At 42.0% G+C, this 22,670-nt stretch overlaps 1 protein-coding gene across 4 annotated transcripts in view, besides 1 other annotated feature; it reads left to right on the top strand.

Moving 5' to 3' along the window:
* Nucleotides 1–22,670, top strand: part of TGFA (transforming growth factor alpha) — a 106,543-nt gene that overhangs the window by 8,256 nt on the left and 75,617 nt on the right. The window lies entirely within an intron of this gene.
* Nucleotides 20,943–21,559: an enhancer, noted in NCBI's record as "H3K27ac-H3K4me1 hESC enhancer chr2:70751144-70751760 (GRCh37/hg19 assembly coordinates)". NCBI's record gives its function as "activates a minimal SCP1, AML or CMV promoter by ChIP-STARR-seq in primed H9 embryonic stem cells {active_cell/tissue: H9 hESC(primed)}" and the evidence as "EXISTENCE:reporter gene assay evidence [ECO:0000049][PMID:30033119]".

Genomic DNA, 22,670 nt, shown 5'->3' with positions numbered 1-22,670 from the left:
ATTTTCATTTTTTGAAACAGTTAACCAGTTAGTAGTCTAAAATGCTATTTATGGAATAATCTACCCTTCCCCCTGTGGTTTGAAATTCCATTTTCATCATATGACAAATTCTGTTTTTTTAAAACAACTAAAACCGGTTCTTTGTAAAATTATAAGATCTGGGGCATACTGTGGCATAGGAACTAAGCGCACAAGACTTGGACTCTCACAGACTCTGGATTCAAATCTCAGTTCTGCCCTACTAGCAGTTTAAAATGAGACACAATATGCTTTCTTCTTCTTCCTCTTCTTCTTCTTCTTCTTTTTCTTCGTCTTCATCTTCGTCTTCTTTGTCTTCTTCATCTCCTTCGTCTCCTTCGTGTCCTTCATCTCCTTGGTCTCCTTCCAACATTTTTACAATTTTTAATTCTTGTGGGTACATAGTAGGTATATATATTTATAGGGTACCTGAGATATTTTTATATATAGGCATGCAATGTGTAATAAACACATCAAGGTAAATGGAGCATCTGTGACCTCAAGCATTTATCCCTTGTGATACAAACAATCCAATTATACTCTTTTAGCTATTTTAAAATATAAAATTAAATTATTATTGACTATAGTCCTCTGTTCTGCTATCAAATACTAGATCTTATTCTTTCTAACTATTTTTTGTACGCTTTAACCACCTCCACTCCCACACCACCCACTACCCTTTCTAGCCTCTGGTAACCATCATTCGACTCTGTCTCCATGAGTTCAATTGTTTTCATTTTCAGCTGCCATGAATAAGTGAGAACATGTGAAGTTTATCTTTCTGTGCCTGGTTTATTTTCATATGCTAAATTCTTAAGTATTGGAATCTGTTTATGGAATATCAGTTTGGTTCCATTATTTGGTATTTTTGCCCTTATTGTGAATGTGTTCACTCATTTATTCTGCAAATAATTACCAAGCACCTGTTCTGTGCTGGGACCACTTCTAGATGCTAGGGATTCAGCCAAGAATGAGGCAGAGTTCCAGTTCTCGTGGACCTGTGTTCTAATGTGGGAGACATTTCCCCCTGCTATCTATTCTAATTGGTTATTGCTGGTATATAAAAGCTTTTTTTTCATATTTATATCTTAACGAGTTTTGTTAATTCTAATAGTCCTTCAGTTGATCCTCTTAGGTTTTCTAGGTAGATGATCATTTAAGCTTGAATAATAATAACTTTGCCTCCTTCCTTTTAATATTTTAATCTCTTATTAAATATCTTATTTTAATCTTTTATTAAATATTAAATTATTAATATTTGAATCTCTTCTTACTTATAGCATAGACCAGGACTTTAAGAGCATGGTTTCTTAAAAGGCAGTAGATATCCTTGTATTTTTCATGGCTTTACGGGTAATGTTTGCGCATTTAACACTTAAGTACGAAGCTGACTTTTTGGTTATATATTATATATACACATATATTCTTTATGATGTTAAAATATGTTTCTCATCATAATTTACTAAAAGAGTTGGCATTTTTTGTTTTGTTAGTTTTTTAAAGCAGGAGGCAATAATGTGTGGGTTTTTTCCCTCAAATGTTTTGAGGACATTGATTGACTCAATTATGTTAAAGCCACCTTTAAATTCTTGAAATAAACTCTTCTTGGCTATGTGGTATTATTCTCTGTATAAACTGCTAGATCTGCTCCATTATGAAGTATTTGGGGCTTTGTTTTCTTTTTTAGATTTTGATATCAATATTATGTCAGCTTTATAAAATAAATTTTAAAGCATCTCATCTTTTTTGTGTTCTGCTAGTTGAAGTATCAGGATAACCAACAATTTTGTGAAGGCTTGAAAGAAATTGCTAAGAAGCTTCTGGCCTGGTCCCTTTTTAGTGGTCAGTTCAAATTTTCTACTTTTTGAGTCAGTTTTGGTAATTACATATTTTCCTCACAATCTATTCAACTCAAATTTCTAAAATTTTAGCATAGATTTATAAATGAACTCCTTTTAATTAAAGAAACATTTTTTGTATCTGTGGCCCCAGTTAATGTAGTCTTTTTTTTTCTTTTTTTTTTTTTTGAGACAGAGTCTCGCTCTGTCGCCCAGGCTAGGGTGAAGTGGCGCAATCTCAGCTCACTGCAACCTCTGCCTCCTGAGTTCAAGCAATTCTCGTGCCTCAGCCTCCCAAGTAGCTGGGATTACAGCTGTGTACCATGCCCAGCTAATTTTTGTATTCTTTAGTAGAGATGGGGTTTTGCCATGTTGGCCAGGCTGGTCTCAAACTCCTGGACTCAAGAGATCCACCTGCCTCAGCCTCCCAAAGTGCTGGGATTACGGGCATGAGCCACCATGCCAGGCCTAGTAATATGACTTTAACAAATGTGAAATAAAGTAAGTATCAAGGCCCCCAAGATAAGACATATTTTAAAGTTTGTTTTTCTTGATGATATTTAGAGGGAAAAAACCCTTCTTTTATTTTTAAGTTTTCTTTTTATTTTTTTTAGGTGGAGTTTCACTCTTGTTACCCAGGCTGGAGTGCAATGGCGCAATCTTGGCTCACTGCAACCTCCACCTCCCGGGTTCAAGCGATTCTCCTGCTTCAGCCTCCCAAGTACCTGGGATTACAGGCGCCCGCCACTACGCCCGGCTAATTTTTGTATTTTTAGTAGAGATAGGGTTTCACCATGTTGGCCAGGCTGGTCTCGAACTCCTGACCTTAAATGATCTGCCCACCTCGGCCTCCCAAAGTGCAAATACCCTTCTTTTAAATAAAATTGAAGGAAAAGTTTCATAAGTAACAGTGTTCCCATAAGACCAGGTAAATAACCTTAGTTTGTCTGCATACGTGCATATACCACAGTTGTTATAGCAATGCCACTTCTGATTTGGAGAGTATATGACATTGTAATTTGTAGCTGAGGCTGCTGAGCAGCATCTTGATGCTTTGTTAAACTTTAAAAAGCTTGAAAACCTCCAAATACACCTTAAAAACCTCCAAATTTACCATTGTGTCCATTAGGTGCACAACCAATGCTTATATGAGAGAATTTATTGTTGGTTGGTTGATTTTGTTTATTTTCTGCTGTGTTTTTAAAATCAGCACTTCTAGGTTAAAATATTAGATTCTTACAATGAGACCGTATCTTCAGCTTGGGTTCCTTAGGGGCTTTAGTCTGAGTTTGAATGAGGTCAGTAAACAATTCTCCTAGGCGCTGAGAGGATAGATATACCTTTACTCGTTTTCATCATCTCTTGCCAGGTCTGAGGCATTCTCTTTGTAATTACTGTACTTCCAAGAGGCATAGGAGATTAACTGGCTAATAGTTCAGGTAATGTGGTCACACAAAAGTGGCTGAAGCTGATAAACAAGGTGTTTGCAATTACAGACTTTCCTCCCTTCCCTCTCCCAGTTCTTAGCAACTAACAAGGAAAACTCAAATTTATGATATATATTTTTTGGGGGGGTTGACAGAGCTTAAGATCTGTAACTTCCGCCATGGCAGCAGCCCTGAGGAATTGCCAAATGAATTATGGTGGCCATAACCTGTCCATCTTATTTGTCACCGAGCGCAGTTGGAAACTTTTGGCTGGAACCCTTCTCACCTCGGGATGGTTTCTGGGTTTTAAGTTTTGCAGTGGAGGATCGCATCATCAGGCCGGTCTGCGTGCTGTACACACTCCCTGCCAGCAAATTTCAACAATGACAGATGTTTTTTGCACATAGCAGACCTAGGGTGTTATAATTAGGGTTTCAGGGGATGAATCATAGGTCCCTGAACTGGAATGAAAGCAAGCCTGGGGCCTGAGCAGTTTTTAGGAATGTGAGGTAAACTCATAGATCACACAGATGGAGAATCCTTCTGGATCTGGACTCTCTCTGAATCTCATCAAGCACTCTCCTCCCCCAACAAAGAAAACCCTCAAAACAAGCACACCCCTGTGCTGGCCACAGCACCGGCCTCTTCTCATTCATAGAACACGTGCATCCTCTGCTGCCATCTCCCTGTGTGAGCTCTTCACGACACACTCCTTTTCCACCAGCCTCAGTTCAATCCTGCACATTGTTTTCCCAAAATGAAGCAGAAATCAGAATCTGCAAACAGCGTGTAAAAACACCCCCAGATTGACTCACCAGAGACATCCTCTTACTAGATTTAACTGCCAGGTGTCCTACCAGCCTTCTTTCTGGGCAAGGATACAGATATTTGTATAGTCATTTTTTTCCCTTCACAACATTGCTAGATTCTGTTTTAAAATCTGCTTTTCGCTTACAGTATATGGGGAAAATATTTCTGTGGCAAACATATAAATATATCTATAAACTATTAATTTTTAATGGCTAGGATATATTCTGTTATACAACTCTTATCACTTATTAATCCATCGCTATTGATGGAGATATAGATTGCTTTAAACTTTTAAATATTCAAACCTGAAATGAAAATTCTTGCCACTGAGTTATTATCAGCATTTTAAAATTATTTTCTATGGATGAATCATGAGAAATTGATCACTAGGTCAAAAGTTTCACACTTTTTTTGTCTCTTAATATATTTTGACAACAGAAAAGCTGTGCACGTTTATACTTCTATTGTTTATGTGTGAATGGTTGTGAATATTTTCATTCTCTAGACTTTGCTAATTCTGTTGGCAAAATGGTATCTCATTTTAATTTGTATTTCTTTGGTTTTCAGTAAGATTGAATGCTGCTTCATGGTTGAGTATTTAAATTTATTTTCTTGTGAGTTACCTGTTTGTATCCTTAGGCCCTGTTTTGGGTAGGTTAGTGATTTTATTATTGATTTGTAAGCAGTTTTTAAAAATACACACTGAAAATATTTTGTCATCTTGCCTTTTAAATTTATGTGAGTTGTATTTAGGTTTACTAAAAGTGTAATTTTTTTGTTTTTAACCTTAGGGACTAAAAATCTGTTCATAATCCCTTTATGATTTCTACTTTTGTGTAATACTTAGTCTTGGGGTAGAAATGATTTTCTGTGACTCTTTGATCTCTGATTTCCCCTCATACATTTATGTAGTTACCTTCAAATCTAAATTTTAATTCTTTGGGTGTGGATTTTGGTGTAAGATGTGGGGTAAACATCTAACTTGCCTTTTTGTCAAATAATGATCCAGTTATTCTAACATCATTTATTGAATAGTTTATTCTCCACTCACTGATCTCAAATCTCACTTTGTCACTTGATACATTCTTAGGAGTACTTGGGTCTGTCTGTCGAGTTTCTGTTCTGTTCCATTGATCTAAGGATCATGGCTATAATGAACCACTCTTATGAGTTGGAATGTGTTATTGCACTAGAAAATTAAGGCAGAAAATATTCAGGACCAAGAAGATAAAGTGTATTCCAGTGGATACCCATCACTTCTAACCCTCATAATGAGACCTTGACTTCCCTCCTACCTAGGTGATGTTGAAGGGAAGGATTACTTACCACGTTTCTCTCTCTGTTCTCTGGCCATTCTCTCACTTGGCCAGAGACTGGTGGGCACTGGGTCTTACTGTACTGAAAGGCATGGTGAACCTGCTTATCCTCTCTCCTATTGTTTCTGGAACTTAGTGTTTTATAAGAATTGGGCCGGGTCATGAGGCAGGCCTGCAATCCTCCACATTCTGGTGAACTGAGACTGTCTATTTTCATGTCCCCTTCTCAAATGGGAGTACTAGTGTAGAGTATGCCATGGCATATGTGGAACCACAGACCACACCTGGCACGGGAACAACTAGAGAATGAAAAAGGAACTTAAGTGGCAAGTCATAACATTGTTTTCTATATTAAAACAAACTTAGATGTGTTAATGAATAGGATGCAAGATTGAAATATCAAGGTTGTCTGGCTGTGGTGTCTCATACCTGTAATCCCAGCACTTTGGGAGGCCGAGGCGGGCAGATCACTTGAGGTCAGGAGTTCAAGACCAGCCTGGCCAACATGTTGAAACCCCAACTCTACTAAAAATATAAAAATTAGCTGGGCATAATGGCAGGTGCCTGTAATCCCAGCTACTTGAGAAGCTGAGACAGGAGAATCGCTTGAACCTAGGAGGCGGAGGTTGCAGTGTGCTGAGATTGTGCCACTTCACTCCAGCCTGGGCGACAGAGTGAGACTCCACCTCAAACAAACAAACAAAAATATCAAAGTTAATTTTTAGGATAAAAGATAAGGCTTTATGTAAATTGTGATTTTTTTTTCTTCCATTGGATTGCTTCAGGCTGTGTTCCCAGACTAGAGGGATAGGTATGAGTTCCCTCTCTCTGCCATTTTACGGGGGTTTTGATGGAAAAGTTTGAGAAGTATAGGCATACCTCAGAGATACAGCAGGCCCAGCTCCGGGCCACCACAATAAAGCAGATATCACAATAAAGTGAGTCACATGAACTTTTTGGTTTCCCGGTGCATATAAAAGTTATGTTTACACTATACTGTGTTCTATTAAGTGTGCAATAGCATTATGCCTAAACAAATTACATACCTTAATTAAAAATACTGTATTGTTTAAAATGCTAACAATTATCTAAGCCTTCAGCAAATCATAATCTTTGTTGGTGAAGGATATCACCTTGATGTCGTTGGCTGCTGACTGATCAGGGTTGTGGTTGCTGAAGGTTAGGGTAACTGGAGCAATTTCTTAAAATAAGACAACGATGAAATTTGCCATGCTAATTGATTCTTCCTTTCATGAAAGATTTCTCTGTGGCATGTGATTCTGTTTGATAGCATTTTACTCATAGCAGAACTTCTTTCAGACTTGGAGTCAGTCCTCTCAAACCCTACCACTGCCTTACCAACTAAGTTTATGGAATACTCTAAGTCCTGTGTTGTCATTTCCACAATGTTCACAGCATCTTCACCAGGAGTAGATTCCATCTCAGGAAACCACTTTCTTTGTTCATCCAGAAGAAATAACTCTACATCTGTTCAAATTTTATTGAAATTGCAGCAATTCAGTCTCATCTTCGGGCTTTACTTCTAATTCCAGTTCTCTTGCTATTCCCACCACATCTGTAGTTGCTTCCTCCATTGAAGTCTCAAACCCCTCAAAGTCAGTCATCAGGGTTGGAATCAACTTCTTCCAAACTCCTATTAATGTTGATATTTTGACCTATTCCCATGAATTACAAATGTTCTTAATGTCATCTAGAATGGTGAATCATTTCCACAAGATTTTTAATTTACTTTACCCAGACCCATCAGCAGAATCACAAATCTGTGGCAGCAATAGCATTATAAAATGTAGGTCTTAAGACTTGAAATTTGAAATTGCTCTTTAATGAGCATGGGCCGCATAGTGGTTGCTGTGTTAGCAGTCATGGAAACAACTTTAAGCTCCTTACACAGCTCCATCAGAGCTCTTGGGCGACCCAGGTGCATTGTCAATGAATAGTAACATTTTGAAAGAAATGCTTTTTTTTTCTGAGCAGTAGATCTCAACAGTGGGCTTAAAATATTCCATAAACCATACTGTAAACAGATATGCTGTAATCAGGCTTTGCTGTTCCATTTGTAGAGGACAGGCAGAGTAGATATAGCATAAGGACTTTGGAATCTTGAATGGTAAATGAACATTGGCTTCAACCTAAAGTCACCAGCTGCATTAGCCCCTAACAAGAGAATCAGCCTGTCTTTTGAAGCTTTTAAGCCAGGCATTGACTTCTCCATAGCTACAAACATCCTAGATGGCATCATCTTCTAATTGAAGGCTGTTTCATCTGCACTGAAAATTTATTGTGCAGAGTAGCCACCTTCATCAATGGTCTTAGCTAGATCTTCTGGATAACTTGCTGCAGCTCCTACGTCAGCACTTGCTGCTTCGCTGTGCACTGTCATGTTATGGAGAGGGCATCTTTCCTTAAACCTCTTGAACCAGCCTCTGCTAGCTTCCAACTTTCTTCTGCAGCTTCTTCACCTCTCTCAGAATCAAAGAACTAGGGGCTTACTCTGGAGTAGGCTTTGGTTTAAGGGCAAGTTTTAGCTGGTTTGATCTTCTTTCCAGACCACTGAAACTTTCTCCATAACAACCATAAGGCTATTGTGCTCTCTTATCATTTGTGTATTCACTGGAGTAGCACTTTTAATTTTCTCCAAGAACTTTCCCTTCGCATTCACAAGTTAGCTAATTGTTTGGAGCAAGAAGCCTAGCTTTTGGCCTATTTCTGCTTACAACATGCAGACTTCACTAAGTGCAATCATTTCTAGCTTTTGATTTAAAGTGAGAGACATGCCACTCTTCCTTTCACTTCAAAACTGAGAGGCCATTGTAGGTTTATTGATTGGCCTAGTTTTAATATTATTGTGTCTCAGGGAATAGGGAGGCCTGAGGAGAAGGAGAGAGATGGAGAAATGACTGATAAATGTGTGTTCTGACTGCTCCATTGATCAGCTAAGTTTGCTGTCTTCTACGGGTGTGGTTCATGGCACCCCGAAACAATTACAATAGTAACATCAAAGATCACTGAGCACCTGTCACCATAACAGATATTATAATAATAATGAATTGTGATTATTACCAAAATGTGACACAGAGACACGAAGTGAGCGCTTGCTGTTGGATAGATGCCACAAACTTTAAATTTGTAAAAAAAAAAAAAAGAAAAAGAAAAAGAAAAAAGAAAACAAAACAAAAAACCACAGTATCTGTGAGGCACAATAAAGCAAAGTTCTATCAAATGAAATATGCCTGTGCTATCCCATGTGGATGACTAATTTTCAGATACTCAGCACAGAGCAAAACAGTAACTAAAATGAATCACTTCATCTTTCTTCTGTTTACTTTGCACTTAATTGGCTCTTCTCTTTCTAGTTTCCTAAAGTGGAAGCTTAGCGTATTGATTTTAGATATCTCTTCTTTGTAATATATTCAGTAAGTGCTATAAATCTTCCTCTAAGCACTGCTTTTGCTGCATCCCACACATTTTGATAAGTTGTATTTTTCTTTTCATTTAGTTCAAAATATTTTTAACTGCTCTTGAGTTTCCTTTTTGACCCATGTGTTGTTTAGAAGTGTGTTGTTTCTTCTCCAGTACTGGGGGATTTTTCAGCTCTCTTTCTGTTATTGATTTCTAGTTTATTTCCATCGTGGTCTGAGAGCATGCATTGTATGATTTCTATTTCTTTAAATGTGTTAAGGTATATTTTATGGCCCAGAACGTGGTCTCTCTTGGTGAATGTTCCACAGGAGCTTAAGAAGAATGTGTATTCTGCTGTTGCCAGAGCTCAACTATGTCCTTACTGATTTCTGCCTGCCAGATCTAACCACTTCTGCTAGAGGGATATTGAAGTCACTACCCATAATAGTGGATTCCTCTATTTCTCCTTGCTGTTCTATTAGTTTTTGCCTCATGGATTTTGACACTGTTGTTAGGTGCACATACACATTAAGGATTGCTTAGTAACTTCGTCATTCTTTAATGATTCAGAAGCTATTTCTGCGTCTCTCAATAAAGGTCTTCTCTAATAAACTCTTTATGCTCATGTGATACCTGTAGTTGACATAGTCTCCCTCAGTACTTGTGAATGAGAAGTTCCAGTGAGTTCAGTTTTCTTCCTGACTTAGTTAAACAGAACTCTGCTCAATTTTAACTTTAATTGTGGAGAGAGAGAAAAAAAGCATTACTCCAGTTTCCTGGACAAGCATTCTACTAGGGTCAAGATAATGGGGCTTTCTTTTATTGAGGTCATAATTTCAAATAAATTCTTTTTTGAATCCTATATGGGTTGTAGAAGATTTTGGCTAACAGACTGGTATTGCACCAGTGAACCACTTCAAAGTTAGGGATTTACTCTTAGGAAAACAACATCAATTCACTATGTAATACGACCTTATTTTCTTGTGAAGTGTCTCTTTCCCATACGGTGCAACAGAGGGAAAAACAAACAAAACAGTCCTTTCAACTAAATTGGATGTTTTGGATTTCAGATAAAAAGCAGGGCATTTTTCTTTTAATAGTGAGAGCAGAGGCATGTGGAATATCTATGCTATCATCCCATGTAGGATATATCTAAGTGATCAAACAGTAATTGTGATTTTTGTGAACTAGGCCTAATGTAACATTTGGTGCTTAATTCACCTGAGGTAGCTACTTTCTTTACTTAATGCTTATAGAGGCAATGGAATGAATAACAAAACTAAGATCAGCACGAAGTGGGAGATGCTATGTATCTACATATTTATTTTGGTGATTTATTTTGTGGATTGTTCACTTTAGTAAACATTTAACTGTATATTAGATACTCTGCTGGGTCTGGTGTTATTAATGCAAAGAGAACCATGACCTAGCCCTTGCCCTCAGCTCCTGAATTTTTTATAGATCATGGCAGGAGCAGACACACAGTTTTTTACAATATGGCATGAGGTACACAGTGGACACCTTGGGCACCTTCTTGGTATGACAGGGCAAGGGTGCTTTCTTCTAAAAGATAATGGCCAATAGTTAGAAGGTTGCCTGGCTCATAGTTCTTCCAGTACCTTACATATTGTACAAACTCCTTTAACCCACCTAGCAATCTTATGAGATATGGTATCTCCATTTTAGAGATTTAAAAAAAAAACTGAACTGAGGCACAAAATTGTTAGGTGACTTGCCCAAGTTCCCTCTGCCAGCAAGTAGCAGAATAAGGATTTGAGCCCAGGACCCTTGCCTGCCATCCTAGCCATGCTGCTTCCATTCTGACTCTCCATATCAGCCTGTGGAAGGCTGTGGATGCTGAGGTGCCTGGAGTTGTTTGTGTGTGAGAGCACCATCGTGTAACAGACTTGGGCTAAATGCAGCCAGACTTTCAGACAGCCACTCTCCGACATATTTACCATGATGAGAGTAATTCCCACATAGGTGGTTGTCATGCTGGTTAAAAAGAAATACTGCCCTTCCCAGTGCTAGGAAATATAAAAAAACAAGTATGGTAGAGTGGTTTTTTCCCTCCTTCAGTCAACAGTTCAGGTATTCAGATGATCACAAGAGGCATGCTATTTGACATATTTTATTATGACCAAGGAACCTCTAATAATAAATTCATTGGTGGGGGCTTGTTTGCTTTTCTACCATAAATTTTTTTTAAAGGTGTTTGATTTGAAGAGTGATCTGTTGATGTAGGCAGTCTGTCCCCCAGTGAGTGACACGCCTGGAAGTCATGGGGCACATTGAGCCACAGCCCCTGGGGCACTGGCTTCACCTCCTCCTCATCCCCCTCTACACCTCCCCACCAACATTTCCCCCAAACAATGGCAGAAGGCTGCAGAGTCTTTAACACTTTTACTTTAACACTTTTAGTTCTTCACAGTCCAACTAAAGATAGAACCTGCGAGAGCACAGTTGCTAATAGCTGGCTTACTTTCAGACTTGTCCCCACCAACTTTAGCGATGACATGAACCTACAAAAAGCACAGGCATTTCCACTGACTTGAAGGAACAGCAGATGAGAACAAAAATAGCATTTGCTCTTTTACTTGTATGTAAGAACTTCATTCAGCTGGCAGCATTTTTGGGTGGTCTTTGTACCTCCGAATAGTGGACACTTCAGTATCTGGTTCGGGTCTGCATCCCCAAGTGTTAGAGCAGGGCCACAGTGTGTGCATTCTACAAATGTTTGTTAAAGGTGTATTTTTTTTTTTCCTTTAGATAAAGAGAGTTGTATGCATTGGCAAACAGTGTATTGCTAACACACAAAACAACCAGTGAGACAGACTTCTTTGCAATGAATGAGCTTCTGGAAAAAAAAAATGTGGATTTTAAACATCTGTCTCTTATTTAAAGGACCTTATGGTCTTCCTTTAGGAGAGTTTCCCCTTAATTTGCTTGTAATTCCAAATCATTCACATCTCTGAATTACTTGAAGCAGATTACATCTACTGCAGGGCCCACCCCTTCTCCTCGACAAAAGTTGACTACTTGTTAACTGTGTTAACACAGTTAATTTGTTAACAGTTAACAGTTAACATAGTTAACACAGTTAACAAGACCAGCAGCCTATCCAGCAGCCTATCCTGCTGGTCTGTTGGGGAGGAAGAGTTGATGTTTTCAGAAGCCAAGAAACTAACCTATCTCCTGAGATTTAAACACACAGACATTAGCTTCTTTTAAAAATTCTGCTGCTCAGACCAGAGGCCCTTGTGGTATTTTCTGCAGTTTTTGTCCACATTGCACTAGAGGCTTCCTTGATCTTCATCTGGGTCAGCTAATCTTTGTGACCCACAATCTAAAATTTTTCTTCCTCACCTGATTGATGTGCTTCCGTTGTAACATTCAGCAGGTGTTGGGGGGTGGGGGTAGGGGGAAAAGGTTTAACATTTTATAACAGAGCAGTCCCTTTGGGTCGAAATTTCTTCATCTTTTCAGCTTGTACCTCAGAACACAAGGAGTCCAAACTGCACAGAACCAGTGAGTGATAACAAGGAAAAGACGCTGTTTTCCAGCAGTAAAGAAAATAAACCGCTGGGCGTGGCGGCTCACGCCTGTAATCCCAGCACTTTGGGAGGCTGAGATGGGCGGATCACTTGAGCCCAGAGTTCAAGACCAGGCAATATGGTGAAACCCTGTCTCTATGAAAAAAAAAAATACAAAAATTAGCTGGGCGTGGTTGTGTGCATCTGTCACCCCAGCTACTTGGGAGACTGAGGTGAGAGAGTCACCTGAGCCCAGGGAGGTCGAGGCTGCAGTGAGCAGTGATTGTGCCACTGCACTCCAGCCTAGGCAACAGAGTGAGGCCCTGTTAAAAAAAAAAAAAAAGAAAAAGAATATACACTTGCTTAATTATTCAGAGATGTGCTTCACCACCTACAATCAGGGAACAGCACTTTCTGGCTGTTTTTGGCTCCTCTGGGGGAGGAACTGCCTAAAGCAGGGAGAGGGTTCTGCTCTAGCAGTGACTGTTCACAGGCCACGGATGGGGATGGGCTAAGAGAGGATGGGCAGTTTCTCTGAGTCCCGAGCCTTGAGAAATGAACCACAGGCGTAGGAGCCTAGTGTATGTTTTTTATCCCAGTAAATAAGATATGATATGCATCTTCCCTTGAATATACTTTAAACAAGGCCGGCACCAGCCGCCCTTGTGAATGAGGAAGAGGATTGTGTTGGAAAGGGAATCCCTATCTTTGTGTGCATGCTCCTCTTCCCTGAGCCAAGGCCCCAGAGGCTGGAGGCAAAGCCAAGCGTGCCTGCTCTCTGGGGGCTGTGATGTCATCTGACTCCACTGGGGCAGAGCAAAAGTAGATGAATGGCCTCCCTGCTTGGCCGTGAAGATAAAGTCATTAACTTTGGGAAAACTCATGTTTAGGTTCCCAATAAGATAATTAGAAAGCAAGAACAAAATCTGGATTGTTCTAAACTCCCTAGCTATGTGCTGGTTTGGGTTTTCTCTATTTTAGCTTCTCCCATAAATGGTTTCGTCGCTTTCAACTGGTCTGTTTATCACCTGATGAGCTATTTTCAGAGGCTTCACAGGCAGAAATTTTCTGAAAATCTGGAACTTTGTTTATATAAAAACCATTTGCTTTAAGGAGGTAGATAGATTGGTATGAATAGCTGTTGATATTCTTGTGTACTGCCTCCCTTATACTGGGGGGAAAAGAATCCACTTTCATTTTGTAGTCAATACCAACGAGTGTCTCTGGATGACCTCTTGCTCCATTGGCAATAATTTTGTGTGAGTATGTGAGAGTGTGGGTGTGTTTCAAGTAGAGGTTTCATTTCCTACTTCATGGACTTCTTATTTCACCTTTCCTCTTGCCCTTGTGTTCATTCTCTGCAGTGACATTCAAGGGTTGATCAATGTTTTCATTGATGACATACTTTACCCTTAAGAGTCTCTCTTCACTTCCCTCTTTTTTTCCTTCCACCCACATCCTTGACATAGCAGCAGATATTGTTTGAAGCAAGTGGGAAATATTCCATCTTCTGTGACAACTGTGATCATTTGGAAGTGGCTGTTTAGAAGGACTTGGAAGCTGCATCTGAGTTCAGCAGGAAGTAGTGCTGTGATCAATTAGTAATGTCTGCTGTGGGTTCTGTATGGAGGTGGTGATACAAGCGCAGTGTATTTGCATTCTTGCTTGAGATGGTGGACTCTTTTCCTTAAGAATGAGGAAAATATGTGTTTCTAAGAATTAGTTGAAGGTGTCCCCACTTATGTTGCTTATATCTCATGGCTTTTTATTTTTTTAAACGCAGTACTTGAGGCTTTAAAAGGTGTTCCATAAATCTAGTACCATAGCCATGGAGAATCACTACGGAGTCCTGTTAGACAGGATTGGCTTCCCAGCAAGGCAAAGAGCCCATGAGGGTGTGGACTGGTATGTTTGAAACCCTTCAGGACACACTGGGGTGTCTGCCTCCCCTCGAAGTAAGAGGCAAAAAAACACAGCTAATGGGACTGACCATACTCTGTGTGGACGTTCAGGTCTGTCAACTTTGGGCCCTTGTTGAGTTATCACATGAGTATTCTGTCTGGCTCTTAGTCAGAAGGAACACTGCCTTCTACCTTTTCTTAGAGGGGAGGACTCCTTTCCCTGGAGGATATAGGGTATGTCTCAGTGCTCCTGCCCGAGCAGCCAGCTCAGCATCATCACACCCACTTCAGTGGAGGTGGCTATCTCTGTTAAACTTTCTCCCACAGGTGCAGTGTGGAGATATAAAGGAAAGTGGAGACCTGGGGCCTCAGGGATTGCTGCAGAGGTGGTACATTGAGGGCATAGAAACCTAGAGGAGAGCACAGTCTTGGGCTGGGCATTTGCAGCTTGCACGTGCTCTGGTACCAGGCCAGCACCGAGCCTGTTTGCTTTGGTCCTTGTGGACCCTTCACCTCTGAGCTTGGGTTGCTGTCAGACCTGCCTGCAGGTGGTATTGCTGAGGTCTGTGCTGAGCTAGATGAGACACTGTGTGAGCTTCCAGAAAGCCTTGGGCATAGCCGTTGTCATCTGCAGGCTAATTTCTCCTGGGTATTTAATGCATGTCTTATAAGTAAACCTGGGGTTACCTTAGACAAAGGTTGTCCAACCTGTGGCCCATGGGCCGCCTGTGGCCCAGGAGGGCTTTGAATGTGGCCCAACACAAATTCATAAACTTTCTTAAAACATTACAAGATTTTTTGTGATTTTATTTTTGGCTTATCAGCTATTGTTAGTGTATTTTATGTGTGTTCTTATTCTTCTTCTTCCAATGTGGCCCAGAGAAGCCAAAAGATTGGACACCACTGCCTTAGATGGAGATCCCTGGGATCTGCCTGTGAATGACCAAGGACAAAGCCTTCATTCCAGGTGGCAGCATCCTGAAGTATTAATATTTCAGGGATGGTGGGCAGACCCTGGAAGGGAACTTGAAAGTGCTTCAGAGAAGTTTTAAACTATCCAGACCAAGATAAGATTTACTCATGTAGGTCTGACTCTCACAGGAGTTGAGCCTGCTAATGGATATCTCTAAGCCTGAGTTCCTACTTCTTCATGTTTGCTTTTTAAATTTTTTTGAGGGAGACAGAATCTCCCATCTGAGGTGGTCAGGAAAGGTTCTTGCAGACATTGGTACTTGAACTGGCCTTGGAGGTTGAACATAGCCTAGGAAGTAGAAGGAGAAGGCAGGGAATAGTATAGATAGAGGCAGAGGGAAGAATGAGGCCAAAGTATACCCCCACATTCAGTCCCTCAGGAAGTTCTGCTGGCTCTGTTTCTGTTATATTCTATGTCTGACAACTCTCATGTCCCAGTGGCCACCCCACTGTGACCTTTGCCTGAACTTCTGCAGTGATCTCACCCCATTCTTCCAGTTCCCACTTGTGCCTCCTTAAGGCCTCTTCTGTCCCCAGGACCCTGAGTGTCTCTTCTGTCACATGCATCAGATGTTATTGCTCCTCTGCTCAAAGTCTTCCAGGGGCTGCCCAGCTTGGAATAAAGTCCAGGCCCCTAGTGCTCCCCACTGGAGGCGTCTGCCCCAGCATCTCTCCAGCCTCATTTCCCGGTGTGCCCTCCCCCAGCCACAGCAGCCACCTGCTCTTTTCTAGGACTGGGGCGGGGGGATTCACTCCTCAGGACCTTTGCACGTGCTCTTCCTCCAGATATTTCCAGATCTGGCTCCCTCGTTTTATTCAGGCCTGTGTCAGATGTCATCTATTCAGAAAAGACATCCATGATGACTATTTATTTACACGCATCCGTGATGAAAAATGCTCCAGTGTCTGTGTTATTTGTTGGAGAACTGTCATCACAGAAAGGTTGGAACAGTGTCTCCTTACTCCAGATGGAAATCACCTAGATTCCACAAGGTGCTTATAAAGTGCTGCTGCTCAAATAGGAGAGTCCAAGTGTTGTCTTCTGTAGTTCATGCCCCCTGGATGTCTCTGCGGAACTGCCTGGCAGGTTTGGCTTGAAAAGAAACAATTCTTTCAGCAAGTGTTTGCTGATAGCTTGTCTATGTGTCAGGCACTGTTCTGGGCAATGAGAATACGGTGAACCAAAAACACTCCCCTCCACCTCACACACCTGACTTGGTCCCAAGGAGACAGAAAACAAACAGACATACATACCATAAAATGTCAGGTTGTAACAGTGCTGGCAACAAAGATAAAGCCAGGGATGGGAGTGAGCTGCTTGCTACACATTTTCACCAGAGGTGGATGCTGGACAATTAAAAGCCCCCCTCGTCCCACCCAGTGCTCTCTTGTACCTTTCTCTCCTGAAGTGTAAGAAGGAACAGGGAGAGGAGGCTGGAAGAATTCTGTGTAGCTGTAGCTTCATTTTATGATAAAGGCCGTGTCTGATACCCACTTGGGAGCCCTCCCTTATATAGCTGGAGGGTCAAGAAGTTGAATTAAACTACCCTTGTAGTAACTCTTAGGTTCTGCCCTCTTGGTCACAGAGCTCACTGACAATAGATTTTTAAAAATTGTATTGATAACTTATCCCCAGCTGAGAGCCAGAGCGCCTAAGATACATCATCTTTTTTGTGGGAAACCACACAAGCAAGGCCAGTTGCACTAAAACCAGGATACTGGCTTTTCTTGGTTGTTTCAAAGGCTGCTCAGATTCCTGACTGTGTGCCTGTCAACCTTTCTACTAGATGACTTCTCTGGAAGACCCACCCGCCCCCCACATCGTTCTACCCTTCCCTCCCCACTCCCCCAACCCCTGCCTTTTCCATGCCTCTTTCCACAGGGATCATTGTTTTTCTCGGCCTCCTCTCGTCTGACATGCTCCCAGTGTGAGAGTGAGGCTTGGGGTACAGGGCAGCCCAGCCCGGCGAGATCAGCTACTGACCGAAGCTGGTCATTGCTTCTCCCTGGGAGCCACTGTGAATACATGCTACTATGACCCTGTTATTAACATGTGATATTGGTGTAGTATGTTTGTTACAATTAATGAGCAATTGTTCAAAATATATCAAAAATATTGGTATATTATTAACTAAAGTTAAGACTAGTTGACTAAAATTAGATGTTACTGAACATAGCCCTTCAACACATTTCACCATAGGTGAGAAATAAGCGTGCTTCTGCCCTCTCTGTTTTCAGCAGGGTAGAATTCATAGTGATGGCAAAGGCTGGAAGTGAGCTTTGTCTGTCTTTGCAATCAGCTGAGCCCACAGGGCAGCAGATGAGGCTGAGAGCCACAGTGCTCCGTACAAGGCTGCTCATCCACGACTAAGCAGTGTCTCCTCTGCATTTCCAGAAATGTCTGACTCAAGCTGCCCCTGCCATGGCTTCCTTAGGAGAAGGACGTTGTACTTGAACCTAGGGAAACAGTATGACTGGACAATCCAGAGTGCAGAGTAAAGTCATCCAACTTCACAGTGCTGTAACTGTCATCAGCTGGTAATAGAATACTTTTTTAGAGTAGCTTTAGATTTACAGAAAAATTGAGCAGAAAGCACAGAGAGCTTTACCCCACTGCATAGTTTCACCTGTTATTAACATCCTGCATTGGTGTGATATGTTTGTTACAATTGATGAGTCAATTTTGGTACATTATTAACTAAAGTTAATATTAGTTAACTAAAGTTAGATATAAACTAAAGTCCCTCGTTTACATTAGGGCTCACTCTTGTAGTTGTACATTCTATGTGTTTGGACAGATTTATAATGACACATACCCACCATTATAGTATTGTACAGAGTCATTTCACTGACCTAAAAATTGCCTGTGCTACACCTGTTCATCCCTTTCTCCCCTCTCCCAAGCCCCTGGCAACTACTGATCTTTTTACAATCTCTACAGTTTTGCCTTTTTCAGACTGTCATATAGTTAGAATCATACAATATACAGCCTTTTCAGACTGGCGTCTTTCATGCAGTAATATGTATTTAAGCTTTCTCTATGTGACTTGATGCTTATTTATTTTCATTGCTGTATAATATCCCATTGTATGAATGTACCACAATTTGTTTATCCATTTACCTACTGAAGAATATTTTGGTTGCTTCCAAGTTTTCACAGTTATGATTAAAGCTACTGTAAGCATCTATATGCAGATTTTTCTTTGAAGATAAGTTTTCAACTAATTTGGGTAAATACCAAGGAGCACTATTGCTGGATTGTATAAGGGTGTGTTTGATTTTGTAAGAAACTGAAAAACTGTCTTCTAAAGTGTCTGGACCACTTTATCAATTGGTTTTGACTCCTGAACCACTTTCATTTAGATGAGTCTAATTTTTCCAGAAAATACTTCAGAAATACACTAACTGTTAGTAACCTGAAACCCTTTTCTCACTGCACTCTTACATGGGACTTAAAGGTGAAATGCTGCCACCTTCATTCTTCTTTCTGTAGTCTTCCTGCTGGTCTCTGTTCTTGCTAGAACTAAACCATCCTAGCAGAAAACTTCCTCTTTTCCCTCTCCCTCCTTTTTGCTTCTCATCACCACCCTTTCCCCAGCAAAAGTTAAAGGGGAAAATGGACTAGAGCAGGGTTGGTAGGGGAGATCCCACTCCCATTTTCCCATAGCAGAGCTATTGCATTTTCTCCGGGATTTTTGTTTTCCTTTAAAATGTCTTAAATTGACACTGCTAAAAGATACATGATGCTCTCTGCCCCACAGCTCTGGGGTTGGCATGCCTTGTTCCTTACTGGTTTGTCTCGAGTCAATAAATGAGATTCTGCCCATACAACTAAGTGCATTTGGGGCATTAACTGAACAGCTTTGCTACACGTGGCTGGTAAGAACATGTATTGACCTGAGGGAGATACATTAGGGGCCTTAAAATCTGGCAGTGGACCAAAAGAAAGTCAAATGCATCATCCCCGTGTGTTTCTTCCCTCTTGGGGCTTCCGAGTCTCATTGGAACCCCACCACTATAAAACACCTGGAGTGGGTTTTGTGACTTGTCAGTCTTGTTACTTTATAAATAGGCTTCATGTTGTGTAACCTGAATGCTTTGGGTTAATACAAAGAGACAGACAAGACAGGCACAGGCTGATGACCTGGAGAATAGAGGGAAGAGCTGACAGGAAAAAGCATTCCAGGTAAATGGGGCAGGTTGGATCACCATGGTCCTTCTGTGACCATTTTCAAGGCTCTAATGAGTGGCCCTGTCTGCTCATGTGACTACAAGCTTGTTGCATTTCCCCTGAGTTTTGGGTACATCTGCCCATATACAGTTGGAAACTAAATGACCTGCAGTTGAAGAGACTTTCTCTGTTGGGGCCCAGAATTTCTCAACAGAGTGCACTGTCAATATGTTAAGCAAGACAAGGTTCTGTGCATTACAGAAATCAGAAACTTAGCATCCGCGGCCCCACCATTAAGTACCAGTAGTGCCCCCTAGTCCTTGTGACAGTCAGAAAGCACCTCCCACCACAGGTTCTCAGATGCTCCCTAAGGGGCATCTGCTACCAGCAGTAAGAACCCCTGGGCTAGCGGGTGGTCTGGTCAAGGTCTCCCAGTGAAAGGGAGTAAATCTGAGTACCACCCCGTCCACTCCTCCTCTTCAGCACCTGGAGCCTGCACTTGTTGCCCAGGCCTTTCTCCCCTACTAGCCTCTTCTCCCTCCTCCTGCCCCTTGCTTCTGGGGCCCAAGGAGGAGAACTTAGAGATTCTGCCAGTTTGCAGTGTGATGTGGGTTGAGAAATGTGGAGCTGCAAGAAGTAAGTGTATTTACCCCTTAACTCTTGAAAACCTGTAGTTCTGGGGATTTGTTTCCTTCTTGATTGAACTTGCTTCTTAATCAGCCACCCTTATCAACTCAAGTGAGCATGCCTAAGGGGTGTCCTGTGGCCAGCCCCCAAGGTGGACAGTGGGGATTAGCAATGGGGCAGCATTGTCCCCTTCCCCCATCCCCTACTTCCAGGCTGATGCTGCATTGATCTGAGATTCTGCCAAGTCACACTGGTATTTGTATTGGCCCAAACCCAAAGCCTCACAATGCCTTCTGCAGGGTGGTTCCGGGGTGTCCAGGGTGTTGTGCACCAGGGTGCAGGGATGAGTTTGTCATCACCAAGCTATTCACATGGAGGAAATGGGACAGAGTTCAAGGATTGCTTGTTTTTACCTCCTCCCTGCTCATACCCTACTTTCAAGCCACTTGTGTGAATGATGCCCACACATGGCTTTGACTGAGCTGAGGGGATGGGCTTGGTTTGATTTCAGCCACCAAGAGTCTAACTTTGCTGGCCCGAGGTGCACACCAGCAGAACCACTGCTCACCTGGGCCCAGAGGATGGTAATTCTGAGACATCACAGGCCAGGGAAGTTGAGATGGGGCCAATGGGCCTTCACGGATAGGGAGGGACTTATAACCTCCCCATGGATCCTTCCAGAGGTGGTGTTTGGTTCCTGTACTTCTTGTCAGCCAGGTGCCCTCTGCTCAGCTGGTTCACAATGCAAAGGGCCCAGGGCCCTGTGGATAGCTATAGCATCTGCCACTTTATCCCCAGCTTTGTCCCTAGCCCACTGCCGCCATCCCCTTCTTCCTCCCTCCTGGACTCTGGGAAAATCAAGTGTAACCCTTTCCAGAGACACCTCAAGGCCTCGTGTCACAGTGCCAGTCAGCTGGAACAGGTTTTCAGAGTGCCTCAGCTTGGCACGGCTTCTCTGCAACCTCAGAACTCGGCCCTGGTAGAGCCTGTTGGTGATTCAGCAGCTGGGGAACTCCAGCCAGCCCGAGAGGGCTCGGCGATACTCGCCCTGTTGCCTTGAAATTCCAGGAATTTGGATGGGGGCCCTCAGCCAGCCAGTGCGTGAGCAGGCCTGGGGAAGAGGAAGGTTGACTCAGTACCCAGCCCCTGGTCTAAGTCTTTGATAAGGCTTAAACTCTTCGGAAGAGACAATTGCTTCCTCCTGGCACAAAAGGGTGTGGCATAGATCTGCACAGGTGAGAGCAAGCACAGGGCCTTCCTCACCTCTAGCCAGATGCGTGCTGCATCCTGGTTAACACTGTTGGATAAAGATGTTTTACCTATCTGCTATTTGCTTTGCTTTATGAGAGAGGGTTCTCTCGGACCACCAGATCAGTGGGCAGCCTTATTCTATAAGGCTTTGAAGTGGGTAACATGTTGGGGAGAATACAGGAAGATGTCTGTGTGGCAGTGTGAGTTGTTGCATCACAGTGGCCGGGCCTTAGAAACAAAAGTGTCTCAACAGGAAGCAACTGGCTCCTCCTCCAAGGGTCTCTGTGCCTTTTTTATTTAGTTGTTTATTTTTTGCATGCTTCTCCAGATGTCAGGAAAAGCATTTCACCTCCTTTTGCAGCTATGTTACTTCTCTGTTAACATAGCTGCAAAGGGTTATGTAACAACTAGGTTACTTCTGTGGTGTCAGTTCTGGGCACTTGTTAGTGGCATTGACTCTAAAGAGTTCAAAGCAGTTTGCCAATATTCTCATTTGTCTCTTGAAGTAGGGAAAGATAGTAACCAGCTCTCCTAAATCAGTAATGGTGGGAAATGAGGTCTGGGCTGAGAGAAGGAGGGACAGGAGATACTAGTCCATGTGAGTGACCTGATCTTATACCCAGCCCAGTGCTGGTGGGTATTAGGAGGTGCAGGCAGGGAGCTCTGCCTGCCAGAGTGGTCAGGGGGCATCGTGGAGGACTTGGGGATTGAGCTCGACCTGGAAGGCTGGTAGAAATGACGTCAGGCAGTAAGGAGGCTTTTCTACGCAGAAGAGAAGGAGTTAGTGTTTGTAAGAGACCCGGACTAGGTAGAAACATTTGGGTGGAAGAAAGGGCTGTAATAGGGAGCATCAGAGATACAGGAACACCAGTGAGTGTGTTTGCTTCAATCATCTGGATTGTAAACTCCTTGTGGCAAGTCTTGCCTTTGCTTGAAGAGCCCTGGGACACAACATTCACAACGAACGTTCACAATGAGCGTTCACTCCTCTGTCTTAGCCTCCTTGGGATATGGCCAGGCCTCTTTGGGGTCACTGGATGGAAGTCTTTGTGTTCTTATAAAAGTTTCAGGAAAAGCCAACAAAATGAGTTAAGGGTAGGAAAATAAAATATTTCAGGGGTCATCTCATCGGGTGACCAAACAATGCAGGATCCACTTGACAGGCCACTTCAGCAGACTTAAATCCGGGCTTTGGATAAGGATGACAGTTCCTTCATTCCTCATGGATTTTTCAATATTGTAGTGGGAATATTTAATATCATTTAAATAGAAAAACACAGATTTAACTTACCACCCAACTGAACAATGGTACAGCTATTTATAATGGAGTTCAATGGCTTTTGAGAATTGGAAGGATCCTTTCTCATAGGAAGGGACTTTTCATTC

The sequence above is a fragment of the Homo sapiens genome, chromosome 2, assembly GCF_000001405.40.
Source record: "Homo sapiens chromosome 2, GRCh38.p14 Primary Assembly".
Taxonomy (NCBI): Eukaryota; Metazoa; Chordata; class Mammalia; order Primates; family Hominidae; genus Homo; species Homo sapiens.
Note: the sequence above shows the minus strand (reverse complement) of the source record. Positions and strands in the feature narration are given on the sequence as shown.